A 21,631-nucleotide genomic window follows, 5' to 3' on the forward strand; every position below is an offset into this window, starting at 1 on the left:
AAGGCAGGTGGATCACTGGAGGTCAGGAGTTCCAGACCAGCCTGTCCAACATGGTGAAACCCCATCTCTACTGAAAATACAAAATTGGCTGGGTGCGGTGGTGCATGCCTGTAATCCCAGCTACTTGGGAGGCTGAGGCAGGAGAATCGCTTGTATCCAGGAGGCGGAAGTTGCAGTGAGCCGAAATCATGCCATTGCACTCTAGCCTGGGCAACAAGGGCAAAACTCCATCTCAGAAAAAAAAAAAAATCAAAGAAAGAAAGGGCTGGTTTCTGTTTAGCACTTAGGGAAGCAAGGCTAATGGTCATTTTGGAGGGAGGGAGTATGAGGAGGCTTGTCTGAACACCATCCTGTCCTGGCTGAGAGCTCAGTTTTCAAGGTTACTCTGGGGTCCTGTTGGCTAAGAGATGTTCCATTCAGTTGGCTGGGGGAGGGCCTTAGAATTTTGCTTTTATTTGTCCCCTTTTTAGAAGATGATTTTGATAAGGAAGTAAGAGAGTCAGTCATGTGAGGAATCTAATATAACAGGCTATGAGTGGATGAGAATTTGAGCTAGGAAACAGCGTAGATGAAAAGGAGAGAATGCATTAAGCATAGGAAGTTTATCCAAATTTGGAGAGTGATTGGAGGTGAAGATTATGTGGGGAGGAGGAGGAGTTCAGGGTGAGAAACTTTTCCAATTTGTCTAGGAATGAGGGTTTTCCTGAGTCATGAGATTTTCAGAGCTAAAATTGGACAGAACTGGATTACTGGTAGGTTCAAGAGTGAATTTGATTTTAATAAAAGTGTTTTAGTCTGTTCTCACCCTGCTGATAAAGACATACCCAAGGCTGGGTAATTTATAAAGGAAGAGGTTTAATGAACTCACAGTTCCTTATACCTGTGGAGGCCTCACAGCATGGTGAAAAGTGAATGAGGAAGCAAAGTCACGTCATACATGGCAGCATGCAAGAGAGCATGTGCCGGGGAACTCACCTTTATAAAACCATCAGAGCTCGTGAGACTTATTCACTATCACGAGAACAGCATGGGAAAAACTCACCCCTGATTCAGTTACTTCCCACCAGGTCCCTCCCATGACATGTGGGGATTATTACAATTCAGGGTGAGATTTGGGTGGGGAACAAAAAGCCAAGCCATATCACAAAGTAAACAACATGTAGGGACTACACTTTCAAACAGTTTGGCTGTGAAGATGAATAGGAGAAAAGATTGTAGCTCTAAGATCAAATAAAGGATCCTCCTTTGTTCAGATAGGAGACAGCATGTTTATTTGCTTATGGGTAAGATCGGGGAGATGAAATGAAAATGTAGGAAAGAGAAAAGATAACAGAGTTTATTGTGCACAGATTTTCATAACTTGAAGAATGCCAATATGTGTAAAACAAGGCCTCCATATTCTTCTTAGTGATATTTTATAAAGATCACAAGAGAAACAATGACTACAGTTGACTCTATAAGAAAAGAATAAATATTCATAATTTCTGGTTCCTGGGTCAATAAGAAAGAGAAATGTAATTTCTCCCATTTTATTTCCCATATACAAAACATGATTGATATAAATAAAGGAATATGGTAATGGACATGCAGATGGTGTTAGGAGGGATGCAAGTTCAGTATGTGAAGCCCTGTTTAGACCTCTGAGGCCAATTTATTTAGGATATATGAAGAACAAAATATGCTCAGCACCACACATTATAGAAAAAACTAAGGTAGAGCTACCCATGTCTTGGTGACCAACTTCACATGTTGCAGAGATTTAAACTTCTGAGGAAGCAGAAGTCAAGGGGGCATTGTGGAAAGAGTGCATCAGGCGTGACTTAAAAATAAAATCAGGATGATTTTTTGTTAGGTACAAAGGTCCGACAATCTCCTCCTTGCTTTAAAATAGCTTCTCAGACATTGATGCAGTGGAGTTTGCTCCTGCTAATGGAGCGTCAATGGAAAAGTAAGATTTTCAATATATTTTGAACTAAAAACTTAGATGTGAAGTTTGTATAAAAGTGATTGGTAGAGGAATATCCATAGAGAAAATATTAATTTAGCAGTGACCTAAATTCTATTGACTTCAAGGTTTTTTTCTCTCTCTCTCAAGTGCTATAACTGAGTGTTCTAGGAAAGTCTATATCTTATTTACTTTCTCTTATGTGAAAAACAGAAGCACTAATGCTTAGAAGTAAAACTGCTCTAATTTTAAAAAGTTTCCTCTCATATATATCTGCCTTGAATGCATACAGCTGTTTATTGATGGTGACCTTCCTCCCTCCCTGAGGTTCTGAGCTCTTTCTGTGCTATCCTTATTCCCTGAAGTATCAGGAGAAAAAGAGGGATTCAGCACAGCACAGTACCTTCAGCATAGTGCAATTGCATATGCATTGAATGTAAAAGCATAGAAGGGTTTGCAAGTCCCATTTGCATGACTTTAATCAACATAAATATTTTTAAGTTGACTTAATGGCAAATTAAAATGTATATCACTACAATTATTATTGCTATTTTGTTACTATTATGCATGCTAGCTTTATATTAATTAATACTAGAAAAAAGGCTCTAAAATATTTTGGTTTAAATGAAATATGATTCCTAAATGTATCATAAATGCATCATTAATTAGAAATAAAGTTCATTTAATGGGTTTATTTTCTAAAAATATTTTCAAACCAAGTAGAAAAAAATTTAAATTGATAGCTATGTACTGTAAAAAACTGGCATATAATGCAAAGGAAACTCATTCAACTTATTAATTACTAGATAATATAAATTGTTAACGAAAATATTGATATAAAATTCTACAAGTGAAATACGATAATCCAAAAATTAAACAGAATCATTCCACTAACATTGCATTAGGCAACTGTGGCGACTTCATTTCAGATATAGCTAATTTATTAAAAAACAAAACAAAACAAAAAAACTTTAAATCACCCAGGTTTTAAAAAATTTATACTGTTATATACATTGTTTTTAAAAGACAAAGACACGTGTTATATGTTGTCTGTATAATATGGAATTGTTAGTTGTTTTTTATCCCAGTGGTTCATAAACAAGTTAAAATAAATTTACATTTTTAGTTAAATAGTAAGAGATTTTGAAAAGGGTAACCAGATTAGCTAAAGTTTTTTTCTATGTTGTAATGATAAGAACAGTATAACATATTGATATGGATGACATTATTTGATTTGCAACATCAACTGAATCCATGGTATACTGGCATGCTTCTTCTTTATAATTTTTAAAATATGTTAATTCCTTGATACATGATAAATTGTCAGGTTATCCTGAAGGTCTGGACCTAAAAGGAGATTAATGACTTTCTTCTATTAGTGAAGCAGTAATGGTACATTTTGTCACCTCAATGTGATCAGTTACTATTGAGACACCCTCTGAAATATTTTTTGATGAAATGTGAAAATGACCAGTGGATTATATTCCTATAAATTAGTTTTAAACCTCCTTCTCCCACTCTCAAACATATACTCGTTTTAAATCATTAATATGATCTAACACCTTTATTATCAAAGATAATTAACGTGGAGGCCTAAGTCAGTTTCCAAGTCAACTGGACATATCAGCTCTGAATTTTGTAGAGGATGAAAAAAGGGATATAAATCTCTATAATTACCAAATGGAGGCTACAAAATAACTTGCAGTTTGGAAACTCATGAAATTGCTCAGTTTTACAGGACTGCATGTATTTTTCTTCAAAGTTGAAGACTATTTTATTAAAATTGAAAGATAAGATTGCTTTATTGTCAGAAAGTGATATATCACATAGCAAACTGAATGAGAAATTATAAGGCCTACCTAAAGGCAGTAAGAAAAGGCTCAATGTACATACAGTGATTTGGAAGCCTGTTTAAAATAAATGCAATGAGATTGTTAGTCATCCACAAACCCAGTGAAAATATTAAGGCTTTTTTTTTAAAGAAAAGAATGTTTTCAATATACAGTAAAACACAGAATGAGAATGAGATGAGTAATACATCTATGAGTTGTGTCAGAGCTGGGCTGGCAACAGTCAGAGTTGCTGACATTTTGTCTCTTGCCATGAGTCAGACACAGAGGGTTCATGACCTGGACTGCCTTTAGTGGCCATTCCTTGCTCCTTAGACTAACTGCGGGCACTTGTCCAGCTTACAGCATTCTCCTGACTTAGCTTTGGCCAAAAGATCCAGTAACTTGTCACTGCGAGTTTCTATAAAGTGGATAAACAAGGAACTCACAAAAAGAGTTAACCTGTTGGCTCCTGTTTGGTGCCAGACCCATGTCTGCTCTACAGTTCATCCTGCACCCTGCATAGGCCTGTTGGTTTTCATAGATAGGATCTGGTGAACTCTAAGAGGAGCCTAATATTCAGAATCCAGAATGTGGAAACAAAGGGAAGCTTGTACCTCTCTCTTTTATCCCTCAGCCATATTTGATTTAGTAATGTTTACTGGAGATCTATGTGCTAGGCAACATCCTAGGTTCTCGAGAGGTGACTGTGACAGAATCCCTGCCCTCAATGAACACACAGACTCTCAGGGACAATGTATAAAGATAAATTATCTTAAAATAATGTAGTAATTGCTATATATTCTATATAACTATAGCTTTGGTTTTTCTGTGCCAAAGCTCACTGTCTCAAGAGCTGATTGATGGTTAACACTTATTGAATATGTAATTTGTGCCATCATTTTACCTATAAAATCTACATAGCTTACTGGAATCTGATTGGGTGGGTACCATTATTATCTTTATTTCACAACTGAGAAAGTGGAGCCTGAGGAAGTAAGTTGCGCAAGAACAGCCCAGTGGTCAGTGACAGGGTGAGAACGCAGGCTGCCTCTCCAACCTCGGTCTTCCTTCTTCCATGCCCTTGGCCATTTCCATGCCTCTATTAATCTACTTAGTCCCTTCGAGTTTCTACCACAGTAGTCTCCAAACTATTTTTTATAAAAATGTTTTAAGCAATTACTACTGTGCTGGTATTTTATGTATGTAATACTTTATATATACACCTGAAATAAAAATAATGACAGAAAGGTACAATTAGCAATATTTAAAATTCCATGTTTCTTTTATAGCCTCTAATTTTGTTTGTTTCTGACCAAAAAATAACAATGACACAAAAATGACAGTTCAGTAAGAAAAGATGACTCAATATGCTTATATTTTCAAGGAATTCTGATTTAATAATTTTAATTAATGACTGTAATTCAGTGATTCACAAGTATGATCTATGATTGGATTTAGCAGCTATCAGAACTGCAAATGATCCCTTGACAAAAAATACAAAACTCCTAAAGGAAAAAATGTATGATGATCTGTACTTACCAATGTGCAGGCTGAACTTTCAAATTCATCCACTAATTATGCAAAGGAATTTTTGTTAAAATTTTGTTAGGGTTTCCTCTTGTTCTGAGGTCAATCAGTTGGTTTTGCAAACTAATCAGAAGTTTTCAAACATTTTAATACTATGTGGAAAATTCTTTTTCTACATGTCTTAAAGGTTCAGATACAAGGACTTTTAAAGGTTACTGCCCTTATGTAGATTTGGTAGAGGAAACACTAAAAATATGTGTTATCAAATGTTCTATATCATAAGTTTCTTTCGAAAATGGTGCCTTTTTTGTTTATTGTTAAAATGTCACCTTTATTTTGATAGGATGATTAATCATATTATTTTCAAAATTATCTGCTTACAGTTCACTGTTGGCAAATGCCTATTATCACAAAAAAGGTCAACAAATTAGGAATATTTGTGTTTTGGGGAGAAAAAGCATAACACATATTTAAGGTCAACTTTTCTTTTAAACACTTTGCTAAAAAATTGTGAAATTTAAATTTTGTGGGAGTAGAAAACATTTTTTTGGTCACTCTGACTTTTTACAAAATATTATAAAGATCCTAATCATCAAAGGACTAGTGTATTAATCTGTTTTCACGCTGCTGATAAAGACATACCCAAGACTGGGCAATGTATGAAAGAATGAAGTTTATTGGACTCACAGTTTCAGGTGGCTGAGGAGGCCTCACAATCATGGCGGAAGGCAAAAAGTACTTCTTACACAGTGGTGGCAAGAAAGAGACGCTTGTGCAGGGAAACTCCCGTTTTTAAAACCATCAGATCTCATGAGACCCATTCACTGTCATGAGAGCAGCACAGAAAAGACCTGCCCCCATAATTCAATCACCTCCCATTGGTTCCCTGCCACAACACCTGGGAATTATGGGAGCTACAAGATGAGATTTGGGTGGGGACACAGAGCCAAACCTTATCAACTAGTTAACCTAAAATTAACCAACTTATAAATATGCAAAGTGCTTGAAAGTGCAATAATACAATACAAAATTTAAAATAAACCTCACTGCATTGATTTTATATACTGTGTTACACCTTGCTTTGAACACCTTGGTTCAAAGACCTTCATGTTGCACAAATCCTGTGTAGAGACTTACTGCTTTCTCACTAAATAAACATCTACTACCATCAGTTATTAAATACATGATGTCCTAACCGTGTGAAGTTAACAAACATATAACATGATCTTTCCTCTGAAAAAGCTTTCCCTTTACTATTTCATCTGCCTGACACACCTTTTCCCCTCATCACCTAAAGAATTTGCATCCATCCTTAAAGGTTCACTTCACCTTCCCTCCAAAGCTCCCCATGCTTGTTCCTCTGGATTAGGCATCCCAAGAGGCAACCAAGAGAACTTTGTACCCCGTAGAATTTTGCTAATTATTTCTTTGTAAAGTGTTTTAAAATGTTGAACTTGGCGAATGAGACATTTTTTTCTCCATAAAAAGACAAGCCTTACCAATTAGCTAACATTTCGTGTAATTACTAATGGCTTCAGGAATGGGCTACAAGAAGATATGCTTGAAAAAAATCAATGTACGTAATTGCATTTTTATAGAACTCTGGACTTATATCCTATATTATCTTGTATTTACATCAGACCATATAGCACGATAGGAACATGCAGCCATTCTGCCTGGATTCAAACCCAAAATTTGCTGCTTATTTACAGTGTGTCCTTGGGCATATTGTATAAAATATTTTTCCCACAATTTCCTCATTTGTAAAATGTGCATAGTAGTACTACTTATCACATAAGGATAAAATGGGTATTAAATGATCAATCATATGATGTGCCTAGAAAAGTGACAGATGAGAACTCAGTATCTTTTAGATATTCTTACAGCAGTTGTCATGCCATATAATTGTTTAGTTATATTTTGCTCTCATGAAACTCGGAGCTTTCTTCTCTATTTTCACAATGGTTGGATAATAGGTGCTTAACAGATGTTAAAGGAAGTGAGGGAACAATGGAGGGTGAAAAAGAAGTGAAGGAGGGAAGGGAGGAAAAAAAAGAATCTGTCTTACCATGGTGTTTCTTCTAACTCAAGAACTTGTGTCATGTTCTTCAGATATACCCTATTTCACTTTTATTTCTTTTCCTTTCTTTCCATTTATATTAACACCAAGCCATAGTACAGAATTGTTACTAAATATTTAAGAAATACATAAATTATGCAATTTTGTTTCTCCAAGTTATTGCCAAATTCTATCCTCTTCCTTCTTTCCTGATAATGACATAGCCTTCCTTCTTTGCTACTACAATTTGATGACATGAATCTCATTAGACATTTCAAGTTATCTTTCAATCAGTCCCTGACAGTGCATCTGACATAATTTAATATTCCCCGTTCTCAATTATCCCATTTTATTATGCCTTTTATTTCAGATAAACCTTCTCTTTTCCCCTCATGTTTTCTCTGGGTATCTCTGTAGCTTGCAGTAGGTAATCACTTATGTTCAACAGGCCTTTGTTTTCCAAGTAACTTCTCTCACTTCATTAAAAATGTAGTAGAAGCTGTGTTCTGAGAAAAGTCACACTGATTAAGATGGATGTTATGGTTTTTTCAGAGTAATATTAACAACAAAAGTAAAAAATACTGATTTTCCACCAAAATGACTGACTGGTTTGGCTTTCACATCTTTCCCTAGAGGAGTAGTATTTGAGTGGCTATCAATTGCTTCCTAAGGCATTCATTAAAAAAAAAAGAAAAAAATACTTTATGTGTTTTCTAAAATGCATAAGATTTTCAGAACTTACAGTCATATCATTTACATTTGTCATTAACTTAAGGTATAAGTACATAGGTTTTAAGTTATTACAGACTATAAATCAGATGTTTTGCTTTTAGGTAGAAAAGCATTTTACTCAAATAATCCAATTGTTTGAAAATTAAAACTAAGTATTTTTAATACACAGTAAAAACATTGTATCTTAAATAGTAGATCAATTTAATATGCTATAAGGCTTTCAAAGATTGTTACTTAACTTTGCTAAAACTATTGTGTATCTCATACTTTCCATATAAAACCTTTGCATACACATCACAAATATCATTCCTTTCTTCTTTTCCTTGCAGTTACTATAAATGGTATTACACTGGCCAGTAGCGGGAAGACTAGATTTTTGTATATCGGTATCAGCCTTTGAAAAAATATCATATTCAATAATGGCATTAAATAATTTAATTAATTGAATTAATTATAATGACTATGTCCATTGAAAAATAAATATAGATTAGCTTTATGAGATTATTTTAATTCTGTAAGAGGTAAAAATAATTTCTTTATACTTCATGCAGTTTATTTAGATTCCATTCAATAAAGATGGAATGTAGAGATATGGTGTTGGATGAGATAAAAGTAAGTAAAATTCCCAATCAATTATTTAGAATAAAATATTCTTAATACTCCTGTCATAGTTGAGACACCATGTTGTACTGTTTTTTTATGCTGAATTTTCTGATTTGGAATGAATTCTAGGATTGGAAGGAACAAGCCAAAAGAAAATACCAGATACAAAAATTCATCTTTTGAGTAGAAGTAATATGGGCTAAATCATCTCAAAAACTTTTCTCCACGTGCTTACCCAACTGATTTTTATTCATTACTGAAATGGCTTCTTTGTAATAATTTTAGAGTATTTTATTAGGACAGAGATTATGATCTAGAAGGGTATGAAATTTAGATATAGTAAATATAGATGATTTAATTCCTTTTGTATTCCTTAATAATATCTGTAGTGAACACAAAATAGTTTAAATGATATCTAAAATGAAAATTGAGATCAATTATTTTCTTAGGGAAGAATAAGATAAATGAATTGTAAAACATAATTACTTAATTCAATATTTTTGTAAAAGTTATATAATACATTCTAAACTTAAAGATATTTGTTTATTCCTTCTTTTGAATAATATCAGTGAGTATTTCTTCCTTTTATTCAGATTGATGTGAAATTATATGAATAGAAGGTTGATAGAGAGCTAAAACCAAAGATTGATGGAAAGTTGAAACTAAAGGAAAAGCATGCATCTACCTTTTCAGGTGTGGTAGAATCTAGATCTCTTAGAAAAACTATGTTTTTTTGACTTATTTGAATTAAATAAGGAATAGGATTGTCACATATAAATATTGAAGGTAACTTAATCATAGAATATATTTGACCAACAGGAAACCCCAGTGGATTGCCTCCAGTCTTTTCTGCCTTGAGCATAATAATGTAGAAAAATTACAGATTCTGAAGTCAGATAGATTAGAGTCTTGAGTCCAAGATTTTTTAAAGTTCTTTTACCTCCTGGTTGTGAATTTTGAGGCACAATATTTAATACCTGTAAAATTCAGCATTCTCTTTTAAAATGGGAATAATAATAATTAAATCACAGTATTAGCACTGGGAGTATTTATTTGGAAATCAAAAAGGGTCAGTTACGTTTTTCTATTTTTGGTAGCTGAGAATGCTAGAGACAAGTCTTCTCATGATTTGTAGTTCTGTCTCTTTGGTTGATGGGTTAAATGATGCTTAATGAGATTGAATAATTCCATTGCAAATTGCTTTACCCAGTGTTTTGTGTGTTGCTGTCACTTTCAAGAACTAAGTGACTACAATTCATTGCATCAGTTTGTAATTCCACAGTATGTATAGTGTTTATTTGACCTATCTTACTTGTAGCCTCTTAATTTTACTTCAACATATAGAAATTACTAGGAATAAGCTTGTCACTGTTATTCATTCTTTTATACATTCAACCCATTAAAACTTCAATAGTGATGGCTTGGCTGTACTTCAAGATAGTCTTAACTTCAAATTCACTGTAGTACCACATGTTAATTATAATTTTTAGATACCGTTGATGAAACTAGAAATTAAATGCAACATTTGTGGCAAGTGTTTCCGGCATTCTGCTGTGGTTGCTATTGTGATCCGTGTAAGGTAAAACAACACCTCTTGTTATATAGATTTATAGCACCAGAAAATTATTAGCAATTCATTAAATTACATTTAAATTGGATAACCATTGATGCACCATATAATCATGGTGACTTTTTTTCAACCATTTAGTATACTCAGGCATTTCATTCAATAAAGAAAATACTGTAAAAGAAGACAAGCTGCCTTGCATACCCTACTGTTATGACACTTGTGCATTCTATATATAAGGACAAAAACCTTAAATTTAATGATATAACAAAATTAAACTGTAAACTTCTGTAAAAGATTTACTAAGATGGTCATTTGTTGTTTATTTGACTACCCAGCATCCAAGAAATATTCTTTTGAAGGGAAATTGACAATGTAAGAAATGTGGTAAGAGGCAGGGCTGAAGAAATATCAGCAAATAGAAAATAATAAAGATTAAAGCATAATTTAACAGTGGAAAAAAAGTAGAATTTGTTTGTCCAAAAACAGTTTCTTTAGAAAAGCTAACAGCAAACCATACTTAGCGTTACTTTGCCTTACTGTTAGCATCTTCTTATAATTTCTACTTTTGCAATAACATATATACATACATGCATATATATACATACACATATTATATTATATATACACACACACACAGAAACCATGTGTATATTTTTATTAGTTTAGAACTAATAAAAATGTCATAAAGTTAGTCTAGGAAAATTCAATGGAAAAATCAATAGCTTCTTCTTTGCTGACAAAACAAAAACAAAAGTTAAAAGTGCAAATTAACAATATCAACAAAAATATCCTATACACATAAAGATGTTTGTGTAATGTGAAAGAATAAATCTGCATAATAACAGTGAAGTGTGTAAATAAGTATGGACACACGTATAAGGATATGCCAGGTTCTTTCATTGAAAGAGACACATTTCTTTATAAACTAATATATAGGTTTAATGAAATTCCAAGGAGATCCTAATAATGTTTCTGCTTTGAGTGTATTTGGTAAATAAAGTTATTCTAACCTTTATATCTCCTTAGATAATAGCAATTGATAAATAAAGCTGGAGGGAAAAGATTCATGAGAAAGACTAGCCTACCGGTTATTAATCTATAAATTTACTATACAGTAAATATTGTAGAACTGAAGAAAGATTGATAACCCAATCAATGAAATAGAAGTTAGAGCCCTTAAACAGACTCTTAATTATGTACTATACAATATAAAATCCTTTATTTAAAAAGGGAACTCTTCTTGAGACTTCTTCAGTAAATCAAAGTCATCATTTTTTTCCCTTCAGCCTTTCCCCATTTTGACTTGCTGATTCTCAAATCCCTTTCTATCTAAATCTTGTATATCTTTTGACTTTGTATATCTAAAGTTTCATCTGTTTCAAAGAAACTTTATTCCACTGTTTGATGAGATTTTATTTTTAGATTTTTTTCATTATCACACAAGTAAAACACTATTCAGTGTAGGAAAGAGTAGACTTTAAAAGTACTTAGAAACACACCCTTAAAATAAGTAATGATAAAATATTAGTATGATAACCTTTCCAATTTTTGTATGCTATAGATAAGATGTACATTCAAACCCTTCTATTCATAATAATAGCATACTATAAATATTATAGAAGTTAATTCTTCTTTACTGAACAGCATAACTTGAAAATTATTTTAAATATTATTGTATAAGCATTCTCATTCTTATTATCAATGTATTATACATATATTATAGTTAATGATATAGATGTATCACTGTTTGCTTGGACAGTCTTTTCCTATGAATATTTGGATGGTTTCTAAGTAATTGATCTTCTAAACAAGAATGCAGAAACATCCTTGCAGGTTTATTTTTTCACATTTGTCAGTTCTTTTCATTGAGATACATTTATAGGTGGTAAAATTTGCATTTTTAAAAAGCATTTAAATCATATTGATAAAGGATCTATAAGATGTTGACAATTCCTAGCTATATACTCTTTCCAGCAATCCATCTGTGTCCACTTTCCCCCATTCTTACCACTTAAGTTTTAGAAGTTAGAGAAGATAAAATTATCCTGTCACTGTTTTAGTATATAAGTTTTAGGACAGTTAAAATGTTTTATGTTATCATTAAGCATAAGGCTACCATTGACATTAATTTCTATATCTGTAATTCATATTTACATTATTTGACACAGGATTTTGGACAGTCTTTTTCAAATTAGTATGGTTATCTGGTTTATTTGTTTTGACATTCAAACTAGTTGAACATTTTTTCTGTTTGTCTTGGAAAATTGAGTGCTTCTTGGAATGTATCGTGATTGTCTTAAAGGTATAATATATGACTAAGTGTGTTATTTTAGCTAACTAATTAAAATATATATTTGTAAAATGAGCCTTTATTTTCCCTACCATCTTCTTAACTGTTTTCTGGAACTTTTGGCATCTAGGATTTGCAACACACATTTTTATGATGTGTGAGATTGTGGGGAGCTAGCATACTACTGTGCCTAAATTACTTTACTTGGGTCCCCAATTACACTGAACTAGCCATGCCTTTTCCGTATTTTCTGTATTCCCTGGAATTTGTGTATCTGATTATAGGAAAATGGTGGTGAGTTTGTGATGAAATGACATAGAATAACAAGGAGTAGAACTAGTCTATTGTACTTCTTAGATAGGCTCATAGAGTTTGAATCACACTGCTGTCAATGTCTTAGTTCCTAAAAGCCACAGAACTCAGGATCACTTGGCAGATAGATGATGGAGCCTTTTCACAATTCTTGACTACTTCATGAAGCAAAGCTATGGCTTGACTGAATAGAATTCTCAACTGAATAGAATTCTCAACTCAGCCAAATTGGGAATTTGTTTGTCTGTTGGTATTTTTTAATGTGTTTGCATGCTTTAGTCTCTGGTTGTATCTTTGTGGATGATACATATATCCTAATACTTAGTTATAATTTCATAACAAATGCCTCAACCCAAGATTTTAATTTTACATGCATTTGATAAAATTTTAAAGGATATTTAAGAGTATTATTAAATAAGAATCTTCTGTATTTCTGATATATTAACATTGAAATCACTTGATGTGAAATCTTGAATAATTTTACTATTTACTATAGTATCTGTGAAAAAAATCATTTTTGTTAAAAATGTATGTATGTGTGTATATATTTGTGTGTGTGTGCACGCATGTGTATGTGTTGAATGATTTTATTGCATTCAATACTATATTTGGCCCAAATCTTTACTATTGAATGTAATACAATCAATCATTCAACACGTAAGTACTGAATGCCTAACGTGTAGCAGGGACTATTCTATGGATACAATTTTTTTTTAAAGACTAAAGTCTCTGCCTTTGGGGAGACTTTTAGTAGAAGGAGAAAGATAAAATAAGAAAAATAATGAGTATGTTAGATGACACATGTTGTGGAGAAGAAATCAGGAATCAGGGAAATAATGTAAGAAATCTTTTGCTGGTGGGGAAAAATGATGTTGTGATTCTAATTAAGATACAGCTAGAACCAAGGTCTAAATAAGGTTTGGTGGGGAGCCTTCCCAATATCTGGGGGAAGAGTGTTCCAGAGAGAGAAAACTGCAAGTACAAAAACTCAGGAGTAGTAATGTGCCTGGTATGTGTTTGAGGATCAAGCAAGGAGCAGCAGGAGTGGATGAGTGAGGAAAGAGGGGTTGGAAAATATAAAATGAGGCCAGAGAGTGTTGGTGGGTAGGAAGAGTGGGACAAATTCTGTAGTCTGGTAGACTATTTGGATGACTGGCATTTACTCAGGGTGGTATGGGAAGATATTGGAGGGCTTCGAGCAAAGAGGTACATTATCTGCATTACCTTTTATCACACTAGTGGGCGGGGAGAGGGGAAGGCAATGGTGGAAGCAGAAAAATCCACTGTGGCTATTCTGATCCATCTATGCAAAAGATGACAATGGATGGGACCAGAATGATAGCAAAGAGGAAGATGTGGTTAGAGAAAATTAAACACACAAAAGAAAAGAATGTGGAGAAGAGAAGATGATCAGGGACTTGGAAAATGTGGAATTGCCCCAAAAACAAATCTTACTCAAACTTAACTCTATGCCTTTCCCTACTAATTCAGCCTTCAAAGAAGCGACAAATTACTCAGTCACTCACAAAACAAAAATAAATAAAACGTATGAAATTTAATACATTTTGCTCTTAACAGCTGTATGGAGGTGTAATTGATTTGGTTTATTTTTGGAATTGCACTTGTTTAATGTATACAATTTGATGAATTTGGACATATGCATAAACCTATGCATAATATCACCACAATCAAGGTAATAAATATATTCACCACCTCCAAAAGTTTCCGTGTGTGTGTATTTTAGTGGTAAGAACAATCAACATGAGATCTAGTCTCTCAACCTAATTTTAAGTGCACAATACTATGTTGTTAACTTTAGGCACTCTTGTACAGCAGAGCTCTAGCCCTTATTCATCTTACATAATGGAAACTTTATATTCATTGACTAACTCTCTATTTCCCCCTTCCGCAGGTCCTAGCAACCACTATTTTGTTTTCTTCTTTTGTGACTTTGACTATTTTAGATACCTCATCTAAGTGGAATCACACAGTATTTGCCTTTCTGAGGTTGGATTATTTCACTTAGCACAATGTCTTCCAGGTTCACCCATGTTGTCCCAAATAGAATTTCCTTCTTTTTATGGCTAAAAACTGTTGCATTGTATGTATATACCATATGATCCAGCACTCCCATGTTCATTACAGCATTATTCATAACAGCCGAGATGTAGAAACAACTCAAATGCCCATCAGCAGATAAATGGATAAACACACTTTTATTTCTTACTTTGGCATTGTATATTGACATTGTAAATAGATCTTGTCAATTAATATTTTATGTATATGGTATAAAGAGGTCCTGGATTTTTAGTGCCATAGTTAGAAATTTGAGGTCCATCTGAAATCAACTAAAAATGCAAAGATTTCTGGTAATAACATGTCTTTCAAGTTAATTTAAGTCTATGAGTCTTTACTTAAATGGCTCTGTGTTCAGAGATGATGAACTTACAGCAGATTTGATTCCAAAATAAACCTAGGAGACTGTAACAGATGCCATTGATACCTCTCCCCCTAACCTCACGTTTATCTGCAGCTGTACTGCAATTCCTGGGTCCCTTATCTACTTCCCACCTCAAGGGTTTTCATCTGCATCTCTCTGTTTCTCTGCCTAAGGCAATGCCACAGCTTACTAGGCTCAAGTTTGAGGAAGTTAATGTCCCTGGGGACAGGTAGAAGTCACTGGATAAATAGCTCAGCATTGTTGTCCCTCAGTAGGACAGTTGTGAAGCATGTTTTATATGATTCTTCAGGGAGTCTTTGTATTAGTTTGTTCTCACTTTGCTATAAAGAACTACCTGAGTTTCCAGTTTTTCTGCTCTGTTTTTTCCCCATCTTTGTGGTTTTATCTACTTTTGGTCTTTGATGATGGTGATGTACAGATGGGTTTTTGGTGTGGATGTCAGTTTTCCTTCTAACAGACAGAACCCTCAGCTGCAGGTCTGTTGGAGTTTGCTAGAGGTCCAACCATGATAGACTGGATTAAGAAAATGTGGCACATATGCACCATGGAATACTATGCAGCCATAAAAAATGATGAGTTCATGTCCTTTGTAGGGACATGGATGAAATTGGAAATCATCCTTCTCAGTAAACTATCGCAAGGACAAAAAACCAAACACCGCATGTTCTCACTCATAGGTGGGAATTGAACAATGAGAACACATGGACACAGGAAGGGGAACATCACACTCTGGGGACTGTTGTGGGGTGGGGGGAGGGGGGAGGGGGGAGGGATAGCATTAGGAGATATACCTAATGCTAAATGACGAGTTAATGGGTGCAGCACACCAGCATGGCACATGTATACATATGTAACTAACCTGCACATTGTGCACATGTACCCTAAAACTTAAAGTATAATAATAATAAAATAAAATAAAATAAAATAAACATGAAAAAAAAAAGAAAAAATAAAAAGAGCTACCTGAGACTGGAAGACCTTTACGAAGAAAACAGGTTTAATTGACTCACAGTTTTACAGGCTCTATAGGAAGCACAGCTGGGGAGGTCTCAGGAAACTAACAATCATGACAGAAGGCAAAGAGGAAGCAGGCATATCTTCACAGTGGTGCAGCAGGAGAGAGAGAGAACCAAGGGGGGAAGTGCTACACACTTTTAAACAACCAGATCTCATGAGAACTCATTCACTATCACTAGAACCAAGGGGGAAATCTGCCCCCATGATCCAGTCACCTCCCACCAGGCCCCTCCTCCAACACTGAGAATTACAATTCAACATGAGAACTGGGTGAGGACACAGAGACAAATCATGTCAGTCTTCAATAAGTCCAAGTTCCAGTTGCTCATAGTGTTCCCATAGCATACCCTTTACTGGCTTTTGCCCTTCTTTATTTCCCTTTTCCCCTCCCTTGCATGCACTTTCTGGTTCACCTCCCAAATAAATGAACTTCAAAGTATTTGTCTTAGGGTACACTTGGGGGTCCCACATCAAGCCAGGCAGAGACACTTTAATGAAGTTGCTCATGTCTGGTTGACAAAACAAAAGGTTCAAGAATGTTCCTCAGGAATTAAGCAAAGGTGATTGTTAGCTCCATCTACTTTGTTTTACCCCTCTTTGATCTTATTGGTCTCACTGTGACCAGCATTAAAGAAACAAAGGGTCTTGAGCTGGTACAGCTCAAAATGGTGAATCTGTTGCTGTTTCCATAATTAATCATTTTTGTCAATAGTTATAAGTGAACAGAGCCATGAAATGCAGAATGCATAATAGGAAGCTGAAAATTTATGGGCATATTGAAGACATGTAACAATTGCCTGTATGAATAACAAAGGAGCAGGAATACAGCTTCTCGGAGGCTAGGATCTGAGTTTCTGACATCTAGAATAAAGTTAGGAAGAACTTAAGTGCTACAATAACAAAAGATGCCACTGGATTTACAGTTTGGCTGAATTCTAGGGAAATCACATGTTGTAAGGCCTTGGTAAAGATCAGATTCAGAAATTATTTTTAAAAAGAAGAATTTGGAAAAGATAAAGTAAAACCCCAAATTCTATATTAATTTTTGATGTAGATTTACTTTGGAGGCATACCAAGTGTTTCTGGCTTGGAAAAGTTTAGGTGCAAAGACTATGGATGAGCAAATGTTCAGTGGTCCTTTTCTTTCCCTCTTATGGCATAATCTAAGCCTCAGGAACAGAAATATCCATAATCCATAAAATGCTTTTTTTATGTTATACAAAGAATCAGAAAGACACGACTTGTTTAGAAATTCAAAAGACTGTTAACAGAGAACACACACATCTCCTCTGACATGAAAATTTTCAGATAAATCAGGCAGCAGAGAAAGACAAAGTCAGAAAATGTTTATCGTTTTCCTGCAATTATTGGAAACATGAAATATTTTTGGTCAAAGCAGAGGGAACCAAATTAAGGTAATAATGTGTAATAACTAATAAACCGATAAAGTAGGTGACAACTGCAGCAAATGCATGATCACTTATTTTTCCCCAAGATTACTGTCATTATTCTTATGGGTATGTGGGTGTGGGCAAGGGGAAATAAGGCCCATGTAAATAAAATGTAATTCTTTGCTTGAGATATTTATAGTTTTGTGGTTGAAAAACATATATAAACATGTTATTTCAGTACAGTGTGAAAAGGGCACTGGGTTTTTGGCAGAGTTAGATGCAGAGAAGTGGCATGATCTGATTATATTTTCGAAGAATTACTGTGGCTTTCTTGCTGAGAAGAGACTGAGAGGGGGCTGGAAGACAATAATCCAGGCAGAAGAGTTTGGTGGACTAGGGACAAGATGGTAGCAGTGAGCTGATGAGAACATGACACAAAAAGATTATATTCAACCATTTATTCATGCCTTCATGCATCCATCCATTCACTCATTTAGACATAGGTCCAGTCTTACCAAAAAGTTGTAAGAATAACACAACAGACACTTCACCCAGATTTCCCAAGTGTTAACATTTTACTATTTTTTTTTATATTTTTCTCTCTTTGTCTGAGAGAGAGAAATAGACTTATATTTCTCCAAAATATTGACTAAATTGTAGGCATGATACCCCTTCACCTCTAAATACACCTCCAAATATACCAGGGTATAATATCTAAAAACAACAACATTCTCTGAAACAATCTTAGAAAAATTATCCAATTCAGTTTTAACACTGATACAGCTATCTAATCTACAGAACTTTTTCAAATTTGTTAACCTGCCCCAATAGTGCCTTTATAACAAAAGAAAATCCATAATCATGTATTGCATTCAGTTAGTTGTCTTGTCTCTTTAGTTCCCTTTAATCTGGAATAGTTCATTTCTCTTTCATTGTGTTTCATGATATTGACATTTTGGAAAAGTACAGGCCAGCTATTTATAGAATGTCTCCCGATTTGTGTTTGTCTAATATTTCTTCTTGTTTACATTCACCTTATGCAGGTTTCATAGAAATACCTCAGAAGTGATGCTCTTTTCACAGAATTTTATATCAGGAGGCACATGCTGTTGATCAGTGTCATTAACGGTGATGTTAACTTTGATCACTTGGTTATGGTAGACTCTGCTGTCTCTCTACTGTAAAGCAGAATATTTAACTTTGTAATTAAAAAATATCTTATTATTTTCACACTGTGTTAAATATCCCATGTGTTCTCCAGATTTCACCTATTAGTGTTACAGGATCTTTGGGGCATTGCTTTGCCAGCTGGAAACCTCCATGGCCAGTGGTGTCTTTGCTTGAGTTTTGCTTGGGCCTGCTGGGCCAACTCAGCAGGCTGCTGTTAGCTCACACCTCTGGCCTGGATTGCATGCCTGCCAAGGGCAAGTGGAGCAGCAAGGGGTGTGTGAGAGAGACAGCATGGGGTCTAGCCACTGTGCATAGCCAGGCACGCTGGCTGCAGCGGGGTGGGCAGCTCCAGGCACTGACACAGGTGCTGGCTCCCTGTGAGGCTGCAGCCAGACCAGACATCCTGAAAGCAGCTTCCACAGCTGGCACCAGGGAATGCTGCAGCACCTGGAAGCTTTAAGATGCCAGGAACTGCAAAGCCCCATAGAGGATGTCACGGCCCTGGCTTAAGGAGCTCCTAGGTCTGGGCTCCCCTAAGGGCTGCAGATCTTCTCTCCTTCTTTTTGCCTGCAACATGGCAAGCAAGGGCCATGTTTTAGCCTTGCTCATGTTACAGCTCTTTCATCCCTGCCATTCGGCAGGTCCTGAGTTCTTGAACCTGTGCCCAGGAAGAATGAGGTATGTGGACAAGTGGAGCTGAATAATTCTATTTTTCAAGTGGATGGTGAGCAAGGTGAAAAGGAGCTTTATTGTGTGATGTAACAGCTCAGAGGAGACACGCAGTGGATAGCTACTCTCCACAGCTAGGGTGTCACAACAAGTATTCAGCTCTCTGCAGAGAGGAGACCGTGGGGTAGGTAGCTCCTCTCTGCAGCTGGTCTTATCATCATCTCCTCAAGTCTGGCTGAGTCTGGGGCTTTTATGGGCCTCAGAGGGGAGGAAGTGCACACTGATTAATCTATGAGCAGCCTGAATAAAGCACAAGTTCCCACTCGCGTCCATGGGCCCAGCAGCCCGGCCCCCAGGCTTCAGGCCCTCCCCAGCTCACAGGTGGGACTTCACCAGGGACCTGCCCCTTATGCCCAGGAGCCTGTCTGCTTTCTGCTGCCATTCATGGCGCCCAGGCCATTCATGCCAAGGGAAACCTGTAGGCCAATGCCAAGCTGCCCTCAGCAGCCCCTCAACCCCCCTCACATACTTGTTGGTGCCCAAAGTCCAGAGGGGGCTGAGGCAACAGGGGACTGGCATGTCAGTGCTGCCTTGAGAGTGTGCACACACTGGCAACCTGCAACAGTGCCCAGGCTCAGCCCCAATCTTGCTCCAAGATTGGAGTGTGCGCCAGGAGCAGGGAGAGGGCAGACAGTAGGAGCAGACACTTCTGAGCCCCTGGGGGCGGGGGTCCTTCCTGTGCCCCCAAGAGTGCAGAGCTGCCAGGTCTGCAGCCATGGCTTGGGTGGCTGTAACTGTGCTCTTGCCTGCTTCCAGCCTCCAAAAGCACAAGGAAGCCCACATCCACAGCCATGGCTGGATGGTCAGAGCTGTGCCCAGGGAGCACGAAGTTCCTGCCCTGTCAACTCAGAAGGGGATGGCACTTCTGCCTGTTCCCAGATCCTGCCAGCTCCATGGAGTGCACAGCCCTGGCATGCCTTCCCCACTGCAGCCGGTGTCATGCAGTGGCCGCTGTAGATTAACCACCACTGCCATGACTAGTTTTAATATCCATTGATGATTCTCACTTTCATTGATTACTACCAAGATGGTTGTTATGATAATTTTTAAATTCCATCATTTATTTTTATTAATTTATTTTCTACCAAAAGGAATAGCTTTTCCTTCATCCTAATTTTCATTTATATCAGTGGATTAATGTATTTCTATTTTGTACAATAGGTTATTCTTATTGTCATTATTTATTTGAATGTTCAAATTGTCACATTCTTGGCCAATGGAAATTTTTTCAAGTAGGCCACAGTTGCCCTTTTGACATGGACCATAATTCTTTGAGCACTCTCCCAACTTTCAGCACAGAATGTTGCAGGGTCCTCTTGTACTTTCCTTGGCTTAGCACTGGAGTCAGCCATTTCTTCAAGAAACTCTGGTTCCTTTCAGTACAGAATGGTATTAGAGATCAAGATTAGGGTTCTATCTGTAACCATCACCACAGGGGAGTCGTTGCTTCTAGGCATTGTTAATATTAATAAACAAAGCCAGAAATAGAAAGATAACTGTGTATTACACTCACTCACCTGTCTCTATTTAGCTAACTAGCTATATTAAAAACAGTTGATACACACTGGTTTCTCTGCTTCCATTCCAACATAGCAGGATAATTGTATTTTCTCCCTTTTTATACTTATAACTGTCCTCTCTACTAGTGACAAACAGCTCCCATTATTTATAATATATTCACTTACATGTTTAATCTTACAATGTACAGAAAGTAGGGTCAGTGTTACTAACCTAGACATCTAAGAAAGAGGCCTACTCAGTAGCATTCAGTATTTATTTAGGGTTCTTTTTGTCTTTAGCTGGAAAACATATAGTCCAACTATGGTTAGATCTTCTCCCATTACTTCTTAGTGTTATTTATTCAAAATATTATTTATTTAAAGTATACTGGGTCATTTGTTTCTGTTTCTGTTCAATTTTAGAATTTTTCACCTTCCTTTTTGTTTTATTATTTTCTTTTTTGTGTCTGTGAAATACTAATATTCTAAAAGTG

At 35.7% G+C, this 21,631-nt stretch overlaps 1 protein-coding gene across 16 annotated transcripts in view, besides 2 other annotated features; it reads left to right on the top strand.

The window, feature by feature from the left end:
* SPAG16 (sperm associated antigen 16) overlaps positions 1 to 21,631 on the top strand; it is a 1,126,038-nt gene that overhangs the window by 730,901 nt on the left and 373,506 nt on the right. The gene's annotated exons all lie outside the window — the stretch shown is intronic.
* Positions 18,712 to 19,690: an enhancer, noted in NCBI's record as "H3K27ac-H3K4me1 hESC enhancer chr2:214898800-214899778 (GRCh37/hg19 assembly coordinates)". NCBI's record gives its function as "activates a minimal SCP1, AML or CMV promoter by ChIP-STARR-seq in naive and primed H9 embryonic stem cells {active_cell/tissue: H9 hESC(naive and primed)}" and the evidence as "EXISTENCE:reporter gene assay evidence [ECO:0000049][PMID:30033119]".
* Positions 19,691 to 20,667: an enhancer, noted in NCBI's record as "H3K27ac-H3K4me1 hESC enhancer chr2:214899779-214900755 (GRCh37/hg19 assembly coordinates)". NCBI's record gives its function as "activates a minimal SCP1, AML or CMV promoter by ChIP-STARR-seq in primed H9 embryonic stem cells {active_cell/tissue: H9 hESC(primed)}" and the evidence as "EXISTENCE:reporter gene assay evidence [ECO:0000049][PMID:30033119]".

Source organism: Homo sapiens, chromosome 2 (genome assembly GCF_000001405.40).
Source record: "Homo sapiens chromosome 2, GRCh38.p14 Primary Assembly".
NCBI classification, from domain to species: domain Eukaryota; kingdom Metazoa; phylum Chordata; class Mammalia; order Primates; family Hominidae; genus Homo; species Homo sapiens.